Genomic DNA, 23,814 nt, shown 5'->3' with positions numbered 1-23,814 from the left:
TTCTTTGAGTGGTTTGCTTCAAAACTATGGACAAATTAATTTTTCTATGTTCACTTTTATCTAATTAAAGACATTTATTTCCTTTTCGAGTAATTTTACCAGCAATAAAGTGGTATAATTCAGTGAGGTATTTGATAATTCAATTCAGTTTAACATTTATTGAGCCTATTATATGCAAAGCATCAGGTTAAGACCAAGGTATTCTGAAATAAATATAACACCTACTTTCAAAGAGTGCAACCCAATAGGAAAAACAGATGTTGATATAACTAAAACGTGTCAGATTAATGAGTGCTGTAATGTATATATAAGCCATGTATTTTAAAAGTCAGAGGAAATGATTAATTTGGAGTTGGAAAAAAACTTTTTTAAAAAGCTTCCACATGACTTTCACTTATGGGCAGTGACAAGAGGAACTCTTCCCTCTACTTCCTTCCCAGATTTGTCATTAGTGACTGCTGTCTTAACAGTTGGAAGAGGGGTACCAATTCAGAACTGGCATCAGAAAGCTCTTCACTGGGGCAAAGATTCAGATATGCCAGGATGTGGAGAACTTCCTTGCACAGAATAAGCCCCAGCTTCTCCCTTCAATCCCTAATGGACTATGCACATGGCAAACAACAGATTCTTCTGTGAATATGTGCATTTAGAAACGAGAGCAGCTGGAACAAGGCTTCTTCCACCCCTAACTTCTGGCTCACCCTCCCTGCCCCTGAACTTAAGCGGGTTCAATGCTAGACTGCCAGCAGAGTTAACAGCAAACAGAAGTTCCCTGCTTTCTCTTCCCTCCTTGTCTCCTGTCCCCACCAGAAATGTTGTAAAAGGAAAAATAATTTGATGGTGGACTGAGAAACTGCACCACCACCCTGGAGGGTAGTACAGCCTTGGAAGCAGGTACACACTGGCTTCTCCATTCTTCTGTCTCCTGAGAAGAAGGGACTTGTTATGAATGATATCATTGTTATGTGTGGCTTTCTTTGTCATATTACTATACATTTTTGTTTAGATCTTTTTATAAAATCAAGCAATAAGAGGAGAGAGGAAGAAAGACAAAAGAGATTTGGTGCTGACAAATGTAAGGCTTTGAAGAAGTAAATAAGCTAGTTATCCCCAATAAGTTAGCTTTGCTATAATCAAGGAAAAGCAGAACTCTTAATGAATTCAAAAAGAAAACATTGTTCAATAAATGAACATGCAAGTTCTAGTGTTTAATACACATAACTCTGAAAGCACATATTTTTGAGCAGTCTGCCTTTTAAGGATCTGTCAGGTTTTATCTTGAAGTTAAATCACAGAAGGAGGCCTGGGAAGGGAGCAAGTATCTATTGAGTACTCTTTATGTACTAGATACTATCCTAGTCTCTTCACACTCACACATGCTGCTTCATTCAATTAATATAGAAACAAAAATGCCCAGCCCAAAGTCATAAACCTTGCGGTGCCAACATGCTTGACAAAACAAAATGCGAATCAAAAAATGTTTCACTGCTGAGGTTTTTTTTTTTTAAGATCACAACCAAGACCCTTTATTTCAAGAAACAAAGATGCCCCCTAGTGTTCAAACTGTAAAATGTTTGTTTTGGAAAGTATAGACTACAAAAAGCCTTAGTTCAAAAAAAATAGTTTTTCATGCTTCTCAAGTGAAGAAAGTAGCTGGTCTGGTCTTATTTCCTGAATTAATTTAGCAAAATATTTTCCCATGGCACTGAAATATAATCAATTGAGTAAACATGATATTAAAATAATGGCATCAAATAGGAATTACAAACAAGATGGTAGATTATCTCTCATTCCCTTACCCCCTTTGTCATTTTCTGCTATTGTAAAGAAATCACATCAGCCCCAATTTTTTAATGTAATCATAAATACTAAATTTATTTCAATTTATGTCACTTTTGTTTAGCTCAGGGTAGAGGAACTGTTCTTTATTTCTCTCTAAGAAAATAAAGTATCATACAGACACTTAAACAGAAATATAGTGAGAATTAAAGTGTTCTTGACATGTATAAACAGAAATTTATACACATTGTTCAAAGACTTCATGGAAATCTCTGGATTTTATGGTACATGAACTGGGCATAATAAGGAAAAAATCACAAGTTCATAGCAAGGCGTGCTATCTCATTTCACATTAAAAGATAAAATAAGTTGGTATACATTTAAAATAATATCTTTAAGGGTTACATTTTTAACTGAACCAAACTGTAATGCTGTTGACTGCTTTGTAAGAGCTGTTTTATCATCTGGTTAGGGAGAGCCAGACTCAGAATAGTTTTGAAACAGGGCAACCTGATATCACAGCATTTTGGCATAAACATTACAATATGTCATCACATATTGATGCAGCAGTACAATAGAAACATTGAAGTGTGGTCTCAGTACAGTACACCATGAATATTTTATGTCTCTAAATATGATACTCCATTTAACACCTACTCTTCCTTTACTTCTGGAAAATTGTAAGCCACTTCTCTACTACTTTGAAGAATAGTAATCTATAGCAAAATTCCTTTTTGCTTGCCCATTCTGTGAGTTTTCCTAGAAATTTTGTTATTTCCCCTTATTTCATTTTTTGAAGTAGTTTCAGTAATGGTGGCCAAACATGAGCATTTTACAGCCTCAGGAGTGTAAATAGCACGTTGCATATGTAGACACCCAGGCATAAATACAAACTATTTTACTGTACTAAATATATTTAGCATACCATCTTACAGTTATTTGTACTACTCAAAAATTAAACTTTATTAGATGGTTGCTCCTTTTTCTTTTCTTTCTTTTTATTTATTTATTTATTTATGTATTTTTGAGACTAGAGTCTCATTCTGTTTCCCAGGCTGGAATGCAATGGTGCGATCTTGGCTCACTGCAACCTCCGCCTCCTGGGTTCAAGCAGTTCTCCCAACTCAGCCTCCTGAGTAGCTGGGATTACAGGCGTGTGCCACCATGCCTGGCTAATTTTTGTATTTTTAGTAGAAACGGGGTTTCACCATGTTGGTCAGGCTGGTCTCGAACTCCTGACCTCAGGATCCACCCACCTCGGCCTCCCAAAGTGCTGAGATTACAGGCGTGACCCACCATGCCCGGCCAGTTGCTCTTTTTTCTGAGTTGTTTTGTATTGCGTGGAGCTGATGCTTCCATTTTGACTGAATTGGGCCCTCATTTTCTCTATTTTTTCACTCAGTTTCCTCCCTGGGCCAACCTCACTCTTTTAACTTCCCAACAAATCAGTAACAAAGTATCATTTTTCTGTAAGATTGACTTAAAACATTTGAAATATCACAGATAAAAAAATGTTAACAGTTGCCAGTGTTGAGATGATAGCAATAAATAAAAATGGTTGATAATAGAGTATATGCGTATGTATAGCTTGACATATATACATACTCTTAACAACGTATAGTATAATGAAGGCTATTCTATATTTTCAACACTATTTCCTAACATAACCTGACATATGAATGAACTGGAATAATTTTTTTTTTTTTGAGACGGAGTCTTGCTCTGTCACCCAGGCTAGAGTGCAGTGGCACAATCTTGGCTCACTGCAACCTCCGCCTCCTGGGTTCAAGCGATTCTCCTGCCTCAGCCTCCTGAGTAGCTAGGATTATAGGCACCTGCCACCTCGCCTGGCTAACTTTTTGTATTTTTTAGTAGAGACAGAGTTTCACCATCTTGGCCAGGCTGGTCTCAAACTCCTGACCTCGTGATCCACCCGCCTCAGCCTCCCAAAGTGCTGGAATTACAGGCATGAGCCACCACACCCAGCCCCAGAAACATTTTTAAAAAGCATTTCCTTTGAGGTCCTTTCTGAAATGCTTAGTATCTTTTACTGGTTTATATTATTGACACAGTATACTCAATAAGATCTTTGTTTTAAAAGAATGATTGATTATCTAGCTGCCCTATTAATTAAAATTACATACGACTAAAATTTCAGTTCCTAAATTGTACTAGCTACATTTCATGAACTCAGTAGCAACCTCTGGCTAGTGGCTGTTGCAGTAAACAGCACAGAATTATAACATCATCATCACAGAAAGTTATATTGGACTGATGGAATCACCAATATTTATTGTAAATAACAGTAGCTGCGGAAAGCATAGATTAAATTTATCTGTGCCCATTTTGCCATATTCTCTGATTTTTTCTACTCTAGTAAAATCTTGCTAACCACTTATTTTCTTTTTATTTATTCTTGCCTCTAAACTTTTAAATACCAAAGTATAGTTCTGTTTAGCCGCAGGCTCTGGATAGTTGAAGCATGCTGTCATTGTTTATAATGTGAGACGTGGAATCACATTATGTGCATGGAATCAATTGAGTAAACATATTAAATGGTATCATGTTTGTGATGATGAAATGGTGGGTTGAAATGTGATGTGATGAAATGGTACTCTGTTCCCCTCTGACACAGGGTCAGGGATCAGTTCCATGTCATCAGCATTTGTCTATGACTGGAGGTTTTGCTTTGCTTTGCTTTTCTGCTGCTATGATCAAGGGGAGAGGTTGTCTAAACTGAATCTCCTTTCTTGTTTCTGGCAGTTTCCCTCTATTTTTTTTTCTCCTATGACCTGTCTAAAAGTCTCCCCTTCTTATCACCATATACTCACTATAATCCTACATACAGGATCAGTTCAAGTATGTAATTTCACTTTCCTGTACTGAAACTCTGTAGGCTGTGAAGTGATTAACAAGTATTAATAGATTTTCCTTGATGTAATGCATGTTTATAGGATTAAACAATCCTCTTCCTATGGTCCAGTGACCCTTTTCCAGGCCTAATCACCCACCTTTCCTCAGGAACAGTGCATGTTTTTGGTTTGAGCCCTAATGACATCTGGCCCAGACATGTGCCAGCTGAGCCATTGCCCCTCTGTGCTCTTCCCTGGGGAGTCCTGCTTTCACACTATAATCCATCCATACATCAGTACACACCTATATGTCTTTCTGATTTCTGCAGCCGGTCTCAGCTTGTCTATAATTCACTTCATTTTATTCTCTTTCTGCCAACTTTCTGAAAAGTTCGTGCTCGCCTACCCAGGATTATCACAGCTTCTGGTTAGGTTCCTGGAACCTGGGACCAATCCCTTTGACTTTATCTGCCTTTTTCTAGGAGGCACAATTGTTATTAGCATGTTGAAAGGAATTGCCTTTTACCCTGGTCCTCATAGGTTTCCAATAAAACGTTTAAAAAATTTCAGGGTCCACATTTACATTTTAATTTAGAAACTGTCTTCATCCAAAGAGTAAATTACCATGTGGGATTAGATGCTTCTCCCCACAGCTCAGATAGTCTAGAGCTGTGCTGTTCAAAATGGTAACCACTAGCTACATGTGGATACATGAATAAATTAAAATTAAATAACATTAAACATTTAGTGTCTTGATTGCACTAATCACATGTCATATGCTCAGTAGGCACATATGGCTAGTGACCTCCAAGTTGGACAGCACAGACCACAGAACAAGTATGTCTTTGAAGAAAGTTCTCTTGCATGGTGCTGCTGTAGAACTTTTCTGTCACAGTCTATTCTCCAAGAATATGAGGGTACAATGGCACAATTAGCAAAATAGTTGCTCTTTATTTCTCTCTAAATCATTTTTGAAACCACTTTTTCCAAATCTCTGAAACCCTCACCTTTTATCATTTGTCAGCCTCATCAAACTGACAAGTCCGCATGTAACAATGATGTTCCTACTCACGTGCAAAAATGACTGGATTACAGTTAGAGTCACAGGCCGAGCACAGGGTCTCACGCCTGTAATCTCAGCACTTCGGGAGGCCAAGGTGAGCAGATTGCTTGAGCCCAGGAGTTTGAGACCAGCCTGGGCAACATGGTGAAACCCCATCTCTACAAAAAATACAAAAATTAGCCATGCATGGTGGCGTGTGCCTGTAGTCCCAGCTACTGGGGAGGCTGAGGTGGTGGGATCACCTGAGCCCAGGAAGGTCAGGGTTGCAGTGAGCTGAGATCACACCACTGCACTCCAGCCTGAGTGACAGAGTGAGACCCTGTTTCAAACAAACAAAAAAGATTAGAGTCACAGATTATGGGCAAGATGCTTAAATGCTGAAGTATAAATTAGACTCTTAAGTATTTTAAATGCTTTAATGAGAGCTTCCCAGGGCCAGCTTGGAGTTGTTTCTGTTTTGTTTCCCTACAGTATTAACCTAACACTTGCTGAGCACTTTCTGTGTATTCAATAAATACATGGTTTAAGGATTTTATATCTCATCTTCCCCAAGCCCCTTTACAGATAGGGAAACTGAAGTCAAGACAGGTTAGGTAGCCTCCTCAGTTTACAAGCTAGTAGACAGCAAAGACTAGACCTCATACTTACTTAGTTATGATCCAGCCTTGGACTAAATTTACCAAAGGTTTTTACAAGTGCCTGCAAAACATAAATCTGTCTGGATGGAGGGAGGCAGAGGGACTGGGTAATGATGAGCCTCTGGGTGCAGGGAGAGGATAGGACTTGATGCTTTCCAGGGGAAATATTTAAAATTTCAGTACTAAGTTAAGTCTGTATCATTTTACTTTTTTTATAGTTTCTTATTTTATGTTGTATGAGATGAAAAGCTTGCACATAAAAGATGATAAGAAATTAGAATTCATCGTTTCTGTTGTACCAAGAAGAACCTTAGTGATCTCTAAAAGAATTGTTGTTAAAATATGGATTCTTCTTTCCTTCTAGTACTCCCCTAGCATGACAATGAGCGTGTGATCCATTACCAAGTCTCCTCATGAAAACCACAGTGAGTCAGCCCTTCACAGAACTACTACGGAAGAAAATTATTCATCACAGTGTACAGTTAAACAAAGGAATCTCAGTCACACCAAACCAACCTTTTTATTTCCTGCTCTCTCCCCTCTTTTGTGAAGAAAGCGGGTCCAAATGTGATTCAAACAACTGTACGGAGTGGCATATTAGAATTGCCCTAAACTGAACTGCAAATAATTATGTGTGTATGTATATGTGTGGGAAAGAGAATGTACTGTATATGTGTATGTTATACAGACATATACACATACATACATTGACCCACAGGACATTGTAAAATATTATCACATGACATCTTAAGTAGAAATAAGTAGGGACTTTTATTCCATCCTTTTTTTCACGTTTACATTTTAATTATTACAAGTTGCTCCTGCCCCCTCCCTGAACTATTTTGTGCTGTGTATATCACTGCTTTATATAAGTTATTTTTTAAGGTGAACTCAGATGTTATGGTTTTGTAAATGTCTGCAATCATGGATAGGAATAAAATCGCTTATTTGAGAGCTTTCATTAAATTGCGTCTGATGCAAGTTATCCTGTGAATCACAAAGTGTACTGTCTCAAAAAATAGAAGAAAATGTGTCTTCGTCTTTATGTTGAATCAAACAATTTCTCAGTTACCTTCAGTGAAAAGTATTTTTTTAATTTTTATTTGAGAAAAACACTTCAAATCAGTAAAAGCTTAACTGGGGCCTCACACAGTATATTTCTGCAATAACTGCTTTAAACGGAGTTCTTGATTTGTTTGTCTTAGATGATACAGAAATCATTAAATAGCCCAAATCATTTAGACCATAGCAATAAAGTGACCGGGGTTGTCATATATTTAGCAACATCTTTTCTCTTTAACATGATGAAGCCCAAAAGTGATAACAAAAGCATTTGCTTGAATTTGTCACTTCTCACCAGGAGTACTAGAGGTAAATTTTTAATAACATACTAATGTGAAATGGTATCTGGTTTTTATTCAGACTTTTTGTGAGCATATTCTTATAGACACTAGAAATAAATACATAGAAGGAGACTTTGAGCACAAGGGAGAAGAGAGTTATTAGCACTCCTGAGGCCTCTGGAATGCTGCTTTTCTATCCAGGTATCTTGCTTGCTACCAGCAGAATTGACTGGTATTGGTTCTCACTGGCCAGGGAGCCTCTGCTCTGTTCCTGGAATATAAGGCTTTTATTCAGGAGCAAATCATTGATAGTAACTTTGCTTTATCTAGCCATTGACTTCAGCAGGCTAAAACTACATTGTGTAACTGACTGTTCAAAAAAGAATAAGTAAATTTTTTTTAATCTAATTCCCTTATGGAAAGCACCTTGCTCTATGGCACTTTCCAGATCTTTTGGGATTTTGTGCTTAATTATACATACATACACCAAAATCACAATAGAAAGATATGAAGACTTTAATTTTAGACTCTGAAAGATAACTGGGTGATCCTTTGTGTTAAAATTGTGATACAAACAACCATTGATAAATACCAACTATGAATCCAAACTCTAGAGACTTTGAAAAGCATTGTTTAATTGCAGGTAAGAGGAATCTTCTCTTTCCTTTAGGCTTATAGTCTCTAAAGTGAAAATTTGGCAGGATATAGTCATGCAGCTCATAATGACATTCCAATCAACCACAGACTGCATATACAGCAGTGGTCCTATAAGATTATAATACCATATTTTTAGCATATCTTTTCTATGCTTAGATACACAAATACCATTGTATTACAGTTGCCTTTGGTATTCAGTACAGTAACATGCTGTACAGGTTTGTAGCCTAGGAGCAATAGTTTATATTATATAGCCTAGGTGTGTAGGAGCCTATACCATCTAGGTTTGTGTAAGTACACTCTATGATGTTCAGACAAGGACAATATTGCCTGACAATGCATTTCTCAGAATGTATACTTATCATTAAGTAACATATGACTGTATGTACTAGTTCCTGATGACTTACTTCTCTCAAATTCATAATGATTTAGTCCTTGTAAAAATAAAGATTTTGCCTGTGCCTAAACAGGGATACTAGGCAGAACTGTTGAGAAAAAAAAGCTGAATTAAATTTATGTTGCAGATTTAAACTATCATAAAATGAGCCTCAGTTAATCACACACAGTATTCAGGTGCCTAGGAGTGCACACCGGAGAACAGCCTCATGCTGTCAAGCTGCAGAAACCTTTCATGCAAATTCAGATGAAAAGGTCTTTACCTCAAGCCAGGGTAACCTGAATGAAGGTGATAGTTTGTCCAGACACCTGACTTTACCAAGAAGAATTTTGACTTTCATATTTTATGACAATCATATAAAAATTGACAGTCCTTTGATTATTAAGCTTAATCTTATAATGCTAGAATTTTCAAATATTTTGTTGACTCTTCTCCATTGTTACCGATCTTGAAATTCTTTTCTTCGCCTTCTGAGAAGGTATTATTTCTTATCACAAAGAATGATGAATATGATTTTATCTACCCTTATTTTGGGGGTAATACGAGAATATGAATTGCATCATGATCCCCATTATTTCTAACCTAAAAGTAAAATTCGTTTTTTTTTTCAAGGCAGAGCAGTCAATTGATTATAAGTATTTATTTCTTTTTTCTTCTTGGAGCCCAGATTAAAAAGAGTTATTTTAGATTTAAAAATTTCCTGAAATAGTTGAAAAATTATTTTTGAGGAGAAAATTGTATCCAAGAAACCCAGAATGTAAGGATACTTGATTTTTATATCCAGATAATTCTTTCATGCACTGAATGGAAGACAGTATATCTGTATATTAATTTTTGTTTAGATTTTGAATCATTTAACCCTTATCCTTTTTTCTTGTAATAAGACTATTTAATGTTTTTCTCTTGTGTTTTCCATCTTTATCAATGCATTCGTGTTGGTCTTGATGTATACTACCTGTTCCTAGTGTTATTTTTACACGTCATCTCACAGTAATAATATCAGCAATTCTTGCTGCATTGAACATATTAAATACACATGTAAAATGAAAAAGTAAGCAGTAGGTAAAATCTTGTTACTCTGCTTTGCATTCTGCCTAACTCACTGCATTTGAAAATACATGTCAAATTCTTTCTGAGGGTATGTATGATTCTTAACTACGTGTCTTACAGCAAAGTTGCCCATGGGAACAAAGGCTGTAGGGTGTCATTGATCTTGTAATACAACACATATTTGATGGGTGAATCTTATTAGCACTCCTTTGAAAATGTTCCAGTATGGAGTCAGTTGCTGATAAAGAGGAAGTTCACAGCTAGGAATCCGAAGTTAAGATTTCTCAATTGCCGCCTGGGCACTCATGCCTGTAATCCCAGCACTTGGGAGGCCAAGGTGGGCAGATCACCTGAGGTCGGGAGTTCAAGACCAGCCTGGCCAACCTGGTGAAACCCCCCCATCTCTACTAAAAATACAAAAATTAGCCAGGTATGGTGGTGGCTGCCTGTAATCCCAGCTACTCAAGAGGCTGAGGCGGGAGAATCACTTGAACCCAGGAGGCGGAGGTTGCAGTGAGCCGAGATTGTGCCACTGCACTCCAGCCTGGGTGACAGAGCAAGACTCCATCTCAAAAATAGAAAAGATTTCTCAATTGCCAAAAAGATTAACAAGTAAATCAATTCTGCTCCCCCAGCCATGAAAAGTGCCCAAAACAGCCCTTTCCCTCCAGAATAAAATAAAACTTCCATTTCTATTTTTATGATTCTCTAAGATATCTGAACTCCATTGCATTTCATAGGGTTATTCAGTTAGCACTTCTGTGGTTTAAAAGACAACAAATGAAAATAAGTAAGTTCAGTTTGGGGCATGAAGAAGTCCCACATCTGTCTATATCTTTTCTTCATCATATTGTCCCTAGGAATGTATAGCAAAGCATTCAGAACTGCTCCTTTGGCTGGGGAAGTTTTCCACCGTCCTTAATACTATGAAGTCTTGATTACTTCTTCCGTGGCTTTATCCTTGCCTCCCTCCCAATCCCTGCATCTTCCAGGAGAAATAAAATACCAACTGAACACTGTTACCTTCTCAGCCCTTACCATTTTCATCTGCATATAGTGTATAGTACTAAGAGTAGTTTTCCCAGGAGAAATAATTGCAATTTTCATTTCTTGATTATCACTGCTAATTCGAAGGAGTGCCACAAATCATAGCCACTTGATTTTGATTTTGGAATGCATTTTAGTGTTTTGACACTGGTTTTCCTTTTTTTTAAATTTTTTTTTCTTTTTTTTTTTTGAGACAGTCTTGCTCTGTCACCCAGGCTGGAGTGCAGTGGCACAATCTTGGCTCACTGCCGTCTCCGCCTCCCAGGTTCCAGAGATTCTCCTGCCTCAGCCTCCAGAGTAGCTGGATTACAGGCATGCGTCACAGGCTAATTTTTGTATTTTTAGTAGAGGCAGGGTTTCACCATGTTGGCCAGGCTGGTCTGGAACTCCTGACCTCAAGTGATCTGCCCGCCTCAGCCTCCCAAAGTGCTGGGATTACAGGCATGAGCCACTATGCTTGATCAGGTTTTCCTCTTTTTTTTTTTTTTTTTTGAGTCAGAATCTTGCTCTGTCACCCAGGCTGGAGTGCAATGGTGTGATCTCGGCTCACTGCAACCTTCACCTCCCGGGTTCATGCAATTCTCCTGCCTCAGCCTCCCGAGTGGCTGGGACTACAGGTGCTCACCACCATGCCCAGCTAATTTTTTGTATTTTTAGTAGAGACCGGGTTTCACCGTGTTAGCCAGGATGGTCTCGATCTCCTGACCTCGTGATCCACCCGCCTTGGCCTCCCAAAGTGTTGGGATTACAGGCATGAGCCACCGTACCTGGCCCAGGTTTTCCTTTTTTTTTATGTCTTCTGTACAATAGAGTTGGCCCTCCATATCCACAGGTTCCACATCCCTGATTCAATCAACTCCTGATAAAAAATATTGGAAAAAATTTTTATAACAATAAAAACCAATAATACAACAATAATTACAAATAATACATTGTAACAATGATTTCCATGGCATTTATAATACATTGTATTAGGTATTATAAGTAAACGAGATGATTTGAAGTATATTGGAGGATGTGCATAGGTTATACTATGCCGTTTTATATAAAGGACTTAAGCGTCTGTGGATTTTGGTATCTGCAGAGGTCCTGGAACCGGTCTCCCTTGGATACGGAGGGACAACTGTAGTTCTCTGTCTTTGAAAACATTAATCGATACAAGTGGCCAGTGAATGTATAGTATGGGAGGGAGTAATCCAGTATGGGGGACAAGGTTGCCATATATTTGCCAAAAGTAGTTGAATCTTCTTTCTGTTTTTCCCTCCTGGTGGAATAAGTTTATTGTTTGCTATGAGGAGCCAGAGGCTGTGTTTGTTTAAAGCAATGGTACCCAATCTTAAGCATGTGTAAAGGTCTCCCTGGGTCTGTGAACCATACCTTGAGAAATAACTAGAAAAGTAAAAGAATGGTGAACCACTATTAATAATACTTCCATTTTGCATACTAAATATGTTGCGTGTACCTGTGTGTGTGTGTTGGGAATAGTAATATGAAGTTTGCTCACAAAACACTCCCACTGTGATTCACATTATTTTATAGCACAACCAATAATGATTAAACATAATTATTTCCTTTGACTACTTTTCATTTCAGTGGTAAAACAGCTGATGAAAGTTATTTGGGATGGAAAGAGTAATACAAGACATACGCAGATGGAGTCTCCTGTGCGTAGGTTTAGCACACCCATGTTAGCTTGTCCACATTAGGCCTTCTTTTGAAGGTACTGTATCTAAAGATAAGGGCATAAGTGATCATTTAATTCTCAGCCACTTCACTGATACTACAAGGTGTTACACAGTAATTATAGTGGTTTGATACAGACATTTGTTTACAAGAAACTGAATTGGCATTATTAACTTATTTCACACAAAAAAAGTTAGCTTTACCCATGAACTGTAATTCAGATTGATAAGGTGACCTACCCATGAAAAAGACACCTGAGACCTGTTTACTTTTTTAAACTATGAAGTGAAATCCTCAGTTCAATAAGTGTCCCAAGGAGAATTTCCTCTGTTAAATTTTCCCTGTTAACTTAGTATAATTGGTTTTCTTGAATAGAAGAATAATGATTTCTGTAAGATATTTTAATGTGAATATTTTTGCTGTCTTCATCTTTAAAAATTAAATACAGTACTATATATAGATATTAAAATTTTAAAGTGGGACTAGGTGTTTTTATGTATACAATTACAGTTTGTCTCCTCTCTTTGCAAATTTACTGGCTATTATCAGAATAAAGGTTGGACTCATTTTGCTTATCCCAGTCATTAAAATGTTGTGATCTGTTTCTAACATATTTAGCATTTCATTTTTAAAATGAGATGTGCCATTATCATAACAAAGGCAACTATTAATGTTCCTAGAAAAAATGATGTAAAGGACTTACTCCTAGTCAATATTAACACTTAATCCCACTTTCTTTTTTCCACCAAATGGCCTCAGTACATTGCCAAGAGAGTGAAATTTGGATTCCTCACAGTACTCAGAACACAATATGATATTTGTCAGCTAACTTTCCATCATGTCTTGGTAAAATTGCTCAGTTAAATATAATTGGCCATCTACTTATTAAAAAACAATTCAAATAATCTGTACAGTTACCATAATTTGACAACAAATTACTTTAAATTTAGCACCATCTTAGAAATCTTCTTAATATAAACTACTGATTGAAATGTGTTTATACTTTCTATCATATTTCAAACTGTTTTACTTTCCTTGCATTAAGACAATTAAAACACAAACTACATGTTAGAATGAATAATTTAAAGGACATGCTGCTGTTTCAGCATAAAAAATGGTAAAGTCTTTATAAATAGAATACTTATGATAGCCATTAACGTATTGAATTGTTTAATTAACCTAGTTGTGATTTTCCGAATTTAAGACGTTTTCTTACTACATGTGTTAAATTGTTACCTATAATATCTTCCTGGAAAAATAGAAGTATTTGTAAGGTTTTTATAAATGCACAATTTATGTATAAATATAATTGGAATCTGGGATGACTCTTAGTAATCTACTATTCTTAATTCAACGATGGCCACCAGCTACCTGACACATTTTGTAAATTTAGCATCTGTGTATGTGTGTTCGTGTATGTGTGTGTGCGTGCATGTGCACATTACTGCATTTATTCTCAAATGGATTTATAATTTAGTGTTTTTGTACAAGTACTTGAGCTATTCATGTAATGGGATAAGTTGCCATAAAGATGTACATAAATGACCCTTAATTTGGCACGTTTTCACATTTAATTTTTTAAAATACAGCTTTTCATATACAGTTCCTACCCTTTCATTTCTAGCCTGTACTTCATTACTTGTTGAAAAAGTCAAGTTTGTATGAAGCCAGCATAAACATCAAAATATAACTAATGTGGACATCTGTGTATATAATTGAATTAGACATTATGCCTTATATAAAATTCAGGAGGTTCTAATATCAAAGGATCTATATGCATGGAAGAAGAGGCTACAATGCATATATCAATGGCTGGCTCTATGTGGTCAGATAACTAAACATGGAATGCCAAAAAAAAACTAATGTTATTAGCAAATAGATATGTTAATGAATTAAACTTTGGTATTTTACTGCAAATATGACTATACATAATGTGAGTATCTGAAGCAGTTATCCAGGTAATTCATGCAAAACTATGCTTCTCCTCAATTACATTCATCTTTCTCATGAACTATACAGATGATTGCCTCAGTTCACCGTGAACATTTGCCCAAATAAAGATTCTGAAGTAAGTGCTGCATGCTAGTATACAGATAAATGAGAATGGAGGAGGAGGAGGGTCTACAATTGAGATTAGTGATTCATCCTTAGATATCAATAGAAATAAATCATCTTTTCAATCAGTTTTTAAATAATGGTTCCACATTATTTATTATGGCTTTGATCCAAGTGGAATCTTCTAGTCCAATAACACAGCACATTTGTACATAATGATTAGAAACAAAAATGTTATAAATTCCATTGGCCAGACAGTTTGAGCCAAAGATTACCTCAAATAACTCGCCAGGCAATTTTAGCAAGGTGTCTGGATTACTGGGGGATAGAGGGTAGATAGCAAGGCAACTGATAAGTCCCTGACTTTAAAACAGGTAGAAGTCGTAGAACTAAGAACTTTGCTGGAACTTATTATTTAAATTATTTCTAATTGTGCAAAAATGACTCTTAGTGGTGGTAGCATTATGTAGGTTCAGGGAAGGAGTAGCATGCATAAATAAAAGCCAACAGAATTGGTTTAATCCCTGTGAGCTCCTCTTGGTGAATGAGGTAACAAAGAGTGAAAGATTCCAAAACGAAGGGAGAAAGAGATGAAAGTGTCTGCAGACCCAGCCCCCAAGCAATCTGAGTAATCAAGGGTTTGTTCTCATGGCTCAGTGTATCCTTAAAAGTGAAGAAACCCTTGATGTCAAGGAGTCATAAAAATTAAAGAAATTCTAGATGTTTTATTCCCTACACAAATTGTCTGATGAGAATATGGTGTAGCCTTGTAGAAAATTCTGTGTTGAGTCAACACTGCTTTTTTTTTTTTTTTTTTTTTTTTTTTTTTTGAGATGGAGTTTCGCTTTCATTGCCCAGGCTGGAATTGGAATACAATGGCGCGATCTCGGCTCGCTGCAACCTCCTCCTCCTGGGTTCAAGTGATTCTCCTGCCTCAGCCTCCTGAGTAGCTGGGATTACAGACATGTGCCACCATGCCTAGCTAATTTTGTATTTTTAGTAGAGACTGGGTTTCTCCATGTTGGTCAGGCTGGTCTTGAACTCCCGACCACAGGTGTTCTGCCCGCCTCGGTCTCCTAAAGTGCTGGGATTACAGGCATGAGCCACCGCGCCCAGCCAAGTTGACACTATAAATGTTTAGTTGTCACATTCAGTTTGGGAAGCTTCCCTTGAAGTAAATGTTGGGCACTGCTTGGCTGTAGCTGCATTTCTCAGTGAATAACAACCTCAAATTTTCTTCACAAAATTGTCTTTGCATCCTACAACTCACAGTTCTTGATGGGAATAGGGATGGAACTCTTGATATTTAGTCATGTCCCATGGAAAAAAAATTGCTTTTAAATGTGCTTTCAATAAAATATCAGTAATCATGTGTATTATGTAAATTAGTATTTGTTATATTAAGGAATTCAGCATTACTTATGTACACATTTGTTGCAGAGAAAGAAATGGTTTATGAATTGAAAAGTCAAATGTATTCTTTATATAGTCTTTTATATTACAGAGCTACTGTTTTGTCATCAGGTTAGCCATTATTCACTTCTGACTGAAGGGATATTATATAGACATAATGGTCTCAAAAGTGCTTTAACAGAACACGTATATCATTGAAAGTGATATTAATTTTGAGAACTCAGCATACTATTACAACAAGTAGTTACTAGTCACATTTTATACGCAGTATTTACTTCATGTTTATTTGAGAAGTACTTACCTAGGCACATTTTTTGATTCAATGAAAAACCCACAGAGAGCTGAACTTTAATCCATTGCAAAAAGATAAATCAGTTAACACTTTTAAAAATATAAACCATAGCTAGGTGCAGTGGCTCACACCTGTAATGTCAGCACTTTGGGAGGCCAAGGCAGGAGGATTGCTTGAAGCCAGGAATTCAAGACCAGCCTGGACAACATGGGGAGCCCCCACCCTGGCCGCATCCCGCCCCTACTCCTGTCAAAAAAGTTTTTTAAAAAGGCAGCCAGGCATAGTGGCCTGTGCCTGTAGTAGTAGCTACTAGGGAGGCTGAGGCAGGAAGATCACTTGAGCCCAGGAGTTTAAGGTTACAGTGAACTATGATTGTGCCACTGCACTCCAGCCTGGGCGACAGAGCAAGACCCTGTGTCATAAAAAACATGAACATTTGATAAAAAACATAATACATTTCATAAAAAACACTTTTACATATACATACATACATAACACATATACATACATATGTATGTATGAATATGCCACATATAAAAGTATTAATGAAAATAGAAGCACTAGCTATTGCAAGAGATCCCTCTCATATAAAAGTTTTCAAACTAATGCCCAAATTCAAAATTAAAATGCTCAGTATGACAGGTACTTATAAGAAGAAATCTGAACCAAATAACCGAAATCAAAACTAACATAAAAGCCATATCTAATTTACAACAAAGGTGGATTAGTAAATCCACTGTCAGTATCTCTAAGTTATCTCTGAAAAATCAGACTATAATGAAATTCTCAATATTGCATCATCAGAGTTTAAAATTCCATCCATTTAGCAAAAATACCATTTCAAATAGGCAGCACAGTAATCTCAGGCTCTTCTCAGAAATTGTCATCTTGCCGGAAGATATCTGGTTGCAGAATTACATGGTCATAGGAAGCTCTGTGTAGAATGTAAAGCATTCAAAGTCCAAATCTCTGTAGAACTTGAATGTCATGAATATCTCTAAAATGAGCCTCTTAAATCATTTCAGATGGGAAATGGTCCAGGGTGAATAGAAATCTGACAAGCTATCTCTGGTTACTTCACTTCCCGGATTATTTAAAACCTTGTTTGGAAAGGTATTTACCTACTGTATTTTCAAGTTCTAAAAAGATTTGCCTGTTGTTTATGTGCAAGAGAGTTACTGAACTATGCATTTGCAAAAGTTAATAACTAATGTGAATTTTTTTTCCTTCAAGTAACCAGAAGTATTTTGCTGTTTTGCCCTGGAAACAGGCGCTTTAGAAGACGTGAAATACAGATTGCAAAGGTATATGTTTCAAAAAACTTTCACATTCATTTGACTATCTTTCTGGTTTATTTGGCATTATTGATTCTCATCAAGTTCACTATGACTTGAGCAAGCCTTACATCAGGCCTCAAAACATGAGGTTCTGTTCACCCCACTTGTAAATTAAAGCAGCACTGGAAATATGTGAACTTATCCAATTGAAGAGGAGCTTTGGAGCAGACAAGTGATTAAATCAGAAATCATTTCCATTTGAATTGCAAAAATAGATGTCCTTACTCCTAATGAGTAGAAATTGACATTTACCAAGATTAATAATTAATCACTGAACTGCCACATAAATTTCCAGTTCAGAAGTTAAATGCATGCAGTAAATTCCTAACCTACTTTGGGGGATTTCTTCCTGCTGAAGGTAAAAATGTATGCTGCAGGCTTAATAATATAGATCCCTTTGTGATCATCTTGATTCTGCTTGCCAAAAATAAGCTACATGATTCCAACCATTTTCAGATACAAATGACAACTAAAACACTTCAAATCTATTTCTGGCAGAAAAACCTGTACACAAAAGGTATAAGAGTTGAGAAAGTAGGGACTTCACCAAAAGAGTTGCAAAGAAAAAAAATCCTCAGTTATTTTGGCCTTGGAGAGAGAGTATATATGTGCACTGATTTATTAATCTGTTTCAATTTTCAAACTCTTGAGTAAATATTTTCTTATTTTGCAAATTGAATTTATATTTTCTCATTTGTTTAAATGATAATTAAATATTCAGAATGTGCTTAGAGTTCAAGACATTCATTAGTTACTTGGCTACAGATTTTTATTTTCAGTGATTGTATTAAAAGCATATTTAAAATGTTCAGACTTAATTGTAAGACAGATGAGAGATGTAAAAGAACTGGTTTCTGAGGATGTTTGTATGTAGAGCTGTTTCAACTGGAAAGCAATCTGCACAATTCTGGAATGCGAGCCCAGAATTGTAAAATTGCATTCCTATTAGGATATCTTTATTCTCCTGAGACATTTAGCCAGGGCACTGAGATACAAAAGTGGCTGTGTGAAGCTTCCTCTGACCTTTAAATTCAGAAAGAATGAGGCCAGAAGAGGAATCTTGCTGCAAAGGACCATTTGTTTGCAGGGCTGGCTCCTCTGTCTTCCTTTGCAAGAATTCTATTTGCTTACCTGTGAGCACAACACTCCTTTTCCTGCAGCTTGACAACCTGCATCACAACAAGGACTCATTTCTCAAGCCATGTTTAAGGCAAAAGAGCTTCAATTAACATGGGAAGACAGGATGGAAACTTCAAAAAAGGGACAGAAAAAAAGGCCCATTTTCGTTTCACAGTGAAAAGAGTACATGGAAAATACGCTTAAAAGTCAGTGAAGAAATTAGCCAATCATGCATTATCTTGATTAAGTGAAACCTAACTTGCTCATTAAGAAATTCCCATAATTTTTGTGAGTGCAATTCATTCTCTCTCCCTTCCCCCCACCTCCTCCTCCTCCTCCTCCCTCTCTCTCTTTTTTTCTATCTCTCTCTGATATGGTTCAGTTGTGTCTCCACCCAAATCCCATCTTGAATTGTAATCCCCATAATCCCCACGTGTCATGGGAGGGACCTGGTGGGAGGTGATTGGATCATGGGAGCAGTTTCCCCCATGCTGCTCTCGTGATAGTGAGTGAGTTCTCACGAGATCTGATGGTTTTATAAGCGTCTGTCATTTCCCCTGCTAATGCTCATTCTCCTGCCACCCTGTGAAGAGGAGCCTTCCACCATGATTGTAAGTTTCCTGAGGCCTCTCCAGCCATGAGGAACTGTGAGTCAATTAAGCTTCTTTTCTTTATCAATTACCCAATCTTGGGTATTTCCTTAGAGCAATGTTAGAACAGACTAATTCATTTTCTCTCTCTCTCATAGTTATGCTACTATATAGAATTATTGAAGAATTAATTCACCTTCGTAAGCAGCTACTAGCTTAAAAAGAATTAATGTGGCTCTCGAAACACCTACTTTATTCGTTAAGGAGTAACTTAGGCACTGGTTAAGAACAGAGTCCAATTGTCTTTGGAACCTTATTAAGACAAAAAGACTCCAGGAAAACGTAGGTAACTAAAAGCCAAGTCAATACATGTCTTAAACTACTGTGGCAAGTGGTAATGGCATCTCACAATTACTTTCATCTTTCCTGTAATGAATGATTACATTTGATAAGAAAGAATTCCATTTTTCCATTAAACAATCTTATGAGATGTTTTGCTTTAGGGTAACCACATACCTCATCTCTACCACAAGACCTGGTGTTCGCATTCAAGCCAGTTGACAGCAATCTTTCTCAATTTATTCCTTCTCCTATCTCTACCCATTGATCCCTGGAGTCCTTTCACAGGAGCAATGTCAGTAAACACTTATCACTGAATAGGCAGCAGGTGGTTCCTCAAGTCTATATAGCACACAGTAGCAGTTCGTTAGAATGAAAGAATGAACCACCACCACGCCTCCCCTGCAGCAATCCCCTTGCCGCTGTTGGTTTCTATAGAGACCCATGAAACTTTTAGCTATTGCAAATTTTATTTTCAACTTGTAATTCTTTATCAACATATTATTAGGAATTGTATACTTTGTGTTCTCAGCTTTTCTTTAAAATTTTTTTACTTGTCAGCCAGGCGCGGTGGCTCACGCTTGTAATCCCAGCACTTTGGGGGGCCGAGGTGGGTGGGTCACGAGGTCAGGCGTTCGAGACCAGCCTGGCCAACATAGTGAAACCCCGTCTCTACTAAAAATACAAAAAATTAGCTGGGCGTGGTGGTGGGCGCCTGTAATCCCAGCTACTGGGGAGGCTGAGGCAGGAGAATCGCTTGAACCTGGAAGGCAGAGGTTGCAGTGAGCCGTGATCGTGCCACTGCACTCCAGCCCCGGCGACAGTGCGAGACTCCGTCTCAAAAATAAATAAATAAATAAATAAATAAATAAATAAATAAATAAATAATTTTACTTGTCTATCTGAGTTTTAGCAGTTTTTAAAGGAAGAAACAAGAAAGTGTTCAATGACTGATAGAAAATGATAGTTCAAAAACAAGCTGATTATTTTTATTAAACATGATAACTGACTTCTACTGATAAATGTTAGGCATGTCATATTAGGTAGACATTTGATCATGGTAGATCTTGAGTTTGCTCACCTTTTTTATGCTACAGCCTTTTTTTTTTTTTTTTTTTTTTTTTTTTTTTTTTTTTTTTTTTTTTGAGACGGAGTCTCGCTCTGTCGCCCAGGCCGGACTGCGGACTGCAGTGGCGCAATCTCGGCTCACTGCAAGCTCCGCTTCCTGGGTTCACGCCATTCTCCTGCCTCAGCCTCCCGAGTAGCTGGGACTACAGGCGCCCGCCACCGCGCCCGGCTAATTTTTTGTATTTTTAGTAGAGACAGGGTTTCACCTTGTTAGCCAGGATGGTCTCGATCTCCTGACCTCATGATCCACCCGCCTCGGCCTCCCAAAGTGCTGGGATTACAGGCGTGAGCCACCGCGCCCGGCCGCTACAGCCTTTTTATGCTATAATACCATAACAAATGTCTATTAATATTTTTTATATCAGCTTTAATGGAATATTATAAATGTGTAGTGACATTTTTAGTCAAATGCTTTTGAATATTTAATGTTTGGTAACAATAGGGGAAAGCAGGGGAGGAAGAGAGCATGCCCCTTCATCCTTAATTACTGGTCCTTTGCATGCAGGAAATATGGCTTGATTGTTTTATTGTCCACCTCTTCAATCAACAATTCTTAAATATGGTGCATAGTAAGTGTATCTAGGCTTCTAAGACTTGCACAAATCTGTAAACATAAGCAATATAAAGCTATGTTAGCTTGCATGCTCATCCCATCTATTGTACCATTTATGTGAACTTGATTCATCCAAACATGTCACCACAGTATTTTTTCATCCAAACACATTTATCGTGTTATTTCAACATCTGATGCAGGCGCTGGGGGTCATGGATTGGTGGAGAGGCGCCCATACCCAATTATAACTGATTAATTGTATGGCTTTCAAAAATTGAAATAGCAGAAAATAATAATTGAGGAAAATAATTAAATCATAGTCCAACATATTTCAGAAACCTATGTATTTGATGGATTGCTTACAATAATTAACAGCTTAGAGCTCTGAAATAAGACTTGCTTCTTTGCAAGGAGGCAAGTAAAATTGACCAGTGAGTATGCTGATTAAATACTGTGATTTCACTCTGTGTCCCAAGTGATTTACGTGTACATCAACGCAAAAGCTAAGACTGAAGAGTGAGGCAGAAGGTGACCAGGTTAGCAGGCTGGGCTGTGCCGCAGGGCAGCAGAATGAATATATGCACATTGTTCTCTGGAGTGAGCCTTCCTTTCCCTGAAGCTGAGGGTCTGTGGGAGCCTAAGGGGCTCCATAAATCTCAGCACTAGTATATTCCAGGGGATGATCGCCAGCAGCATTAAGAGCTATGTTTAGCCTTTATGCCATACTGTATCTTTATTAACCCTTCAGATGCAAATTCTGAAACAAAACATTAAAATGTGACTCACTCCAAACAGAAAGATGGAAATGTATTCCTACTAAGAAATATGTGTAACTTCTAGAAAAAGAAAAAAAAACCCACAGAGATTTGTTTTCAACATATTGTTTTTGCTTAAGATATATTTTTACTCTTAAAAATTAAGAAATAGAAGGCCTTTTATTAGAAGCAGTGTAGTGTCACAGAATGACAAAGCACAGTATCAGCAGACAGAAAACGTGGGTTCTAATCTTGCTTTCCCTACATAACTCTCAACTGGTTATTTAGGTTCTCAATAAAGTAGAATGATGAAATACGTCTTCTTAATGCTATTGTATTTTGTTAATATCTAACACTGTTGATATCAAGATGAGATCTTATAAGTAGCTGGAAAACTATCAGTGTAGGGAAAGAATCTGAAAAAAAATTGTTAATCTATTTTTCTGCTGATACGAGCAAGTTAAGGGGTCTAATTTACTATTTTTGAGTTCACTTTCCTTTGTTAATAGTCTATTCTCATTGAAATGCCAGAGAAATAGTCGAATAATGTCAATCTTTTCAGACAACTCCAGGATCCTAAAGAAAAAAGCAACTAAGGAATGATGACAGCAGTAATGTGAAAAAATGTATCATATGCCCAGTGGATTTATCCCGTTCACATAACTGGCTAACAAGAATGTTTTTTATGAGAGGCTGAGGCAGGAGAATTGCTTGAACCCAGGAGGTGGAAGTTGCAGTGAGCCAGGATCATGCCACTGCACTCCAGCCTGGGCAACAGAGCAAGACTCTGTCTTAAAGGTTAAAAAGGTTTTTTAATGCCTAGTCTACAGGACTTTTGTCCCCTTTATTGCATTCTGAGCTTCACTATGTCTAAGCTCTAAGACTCTGACCTAATGAGTTGCTAGTAGATATTTCAAGAACAGAGGTATCAAAATCTCAAAACATATTCATATAACTCATTCTTGTGGAGATTATTTGCCATTCTTTTTCATTGCTTTGAAGAGAACTTTAAATGTCCACTTAAAGGAAGAAAGCTACCATAATAATACGGTTGATGTAGTATTGAAGTTTTAGTTCCTGAAATGTTTAGAATATGAATTTAGAAAAAGAAGAAAAAAGATGCCACAGATAAGTGAATTTCACAAAAATATCTTAATTAAAATGCCCAAAGCCGAATTATGGTTTAGCATCAAACGTCACAGAACCTGATTTATTTTGGAGGTAGAGAAAAAAGAGGACAAGGAGGCAGTTGCCAGATCACATAGGGCATTTCGGGAAAAAATCCTTTGAAAGTCATTTTATAAAATCTTTGTTAGTCTATGGTTCATTATAGACATTTTCCCTTAATTGGTGGGCAAGGACTTGAAAAGGTGAGGCTTGTTGGTGGCTGACCAACCTGCCTGATTTGAGGACGCACTGATGAGTCTTCAGGTTTCTGCATCTTTAGCACAGTCATTTATAGCTCATATACATATATATGTATATATGTGTACATATACATATATGTACATACATATGTATGTATATATATACACACACATATATATTTTATATTTGAATTCGGTTTCAAATAGTTTTGTATTTTACATTAGGTATGTTTGGAGAATTATGCTGCAACAAATATACATAAATTATTTGGAAACAGAAATATCTTTAAATTGGGTTTTCTTAATGAAGGCTCCTTAAAAAGAATAAAATTATTTTCTTTATGTTTCACCATTCTA

General features: G+C 37.1%; 1 protein-coding gene across 91 annotated transcripts in view; it reads left to right on the top strand.

The window, feature by feature from the left end:
• Positions 1-14,426, top strand: part of SSBP2 (single stranded DNA binding protein 2) — a 339,004-nt gene extending 324,578 nt beyond the window's left edge. For 87 of the 91 annotated variants that reach the window (NR_174563.1, NR_174559.1, NR_174539.1 and 84 more), the window contains one exon: positions 6,697-14,426. Coding sequence is in view for 52 of the 91 variants with exons in the window: in XM_047417066.1 (XP_047273022.1) it covers positions 6,697-6,726 (30 nt within the window). In the remaining 39 variants the exon portion in view is untranslated. The remainder of the gene's footprint in view (positions 1-6,696) is intronic. The other 4 variants (NM_001400347.1, NM_001400342.1, NM_001400340.1 and 1 more) reach the window with 2 other exon arrangements.

Source organism: Homo sapiens, chromosome 5, assembly GCF_000001405.40.
Source record: "Homo sapiens chromosome 5, GRCh38.p14 Primary Assembly".
Taxonomy (NCBI): Eukaryota; Metazoa; Chordata; class Mammalia; order Primates; family Hominidae; genus Homo; species Homo sapiens.
This window is presented reverse-complemented; position numbering and strand designations above follow the sequence as displayed.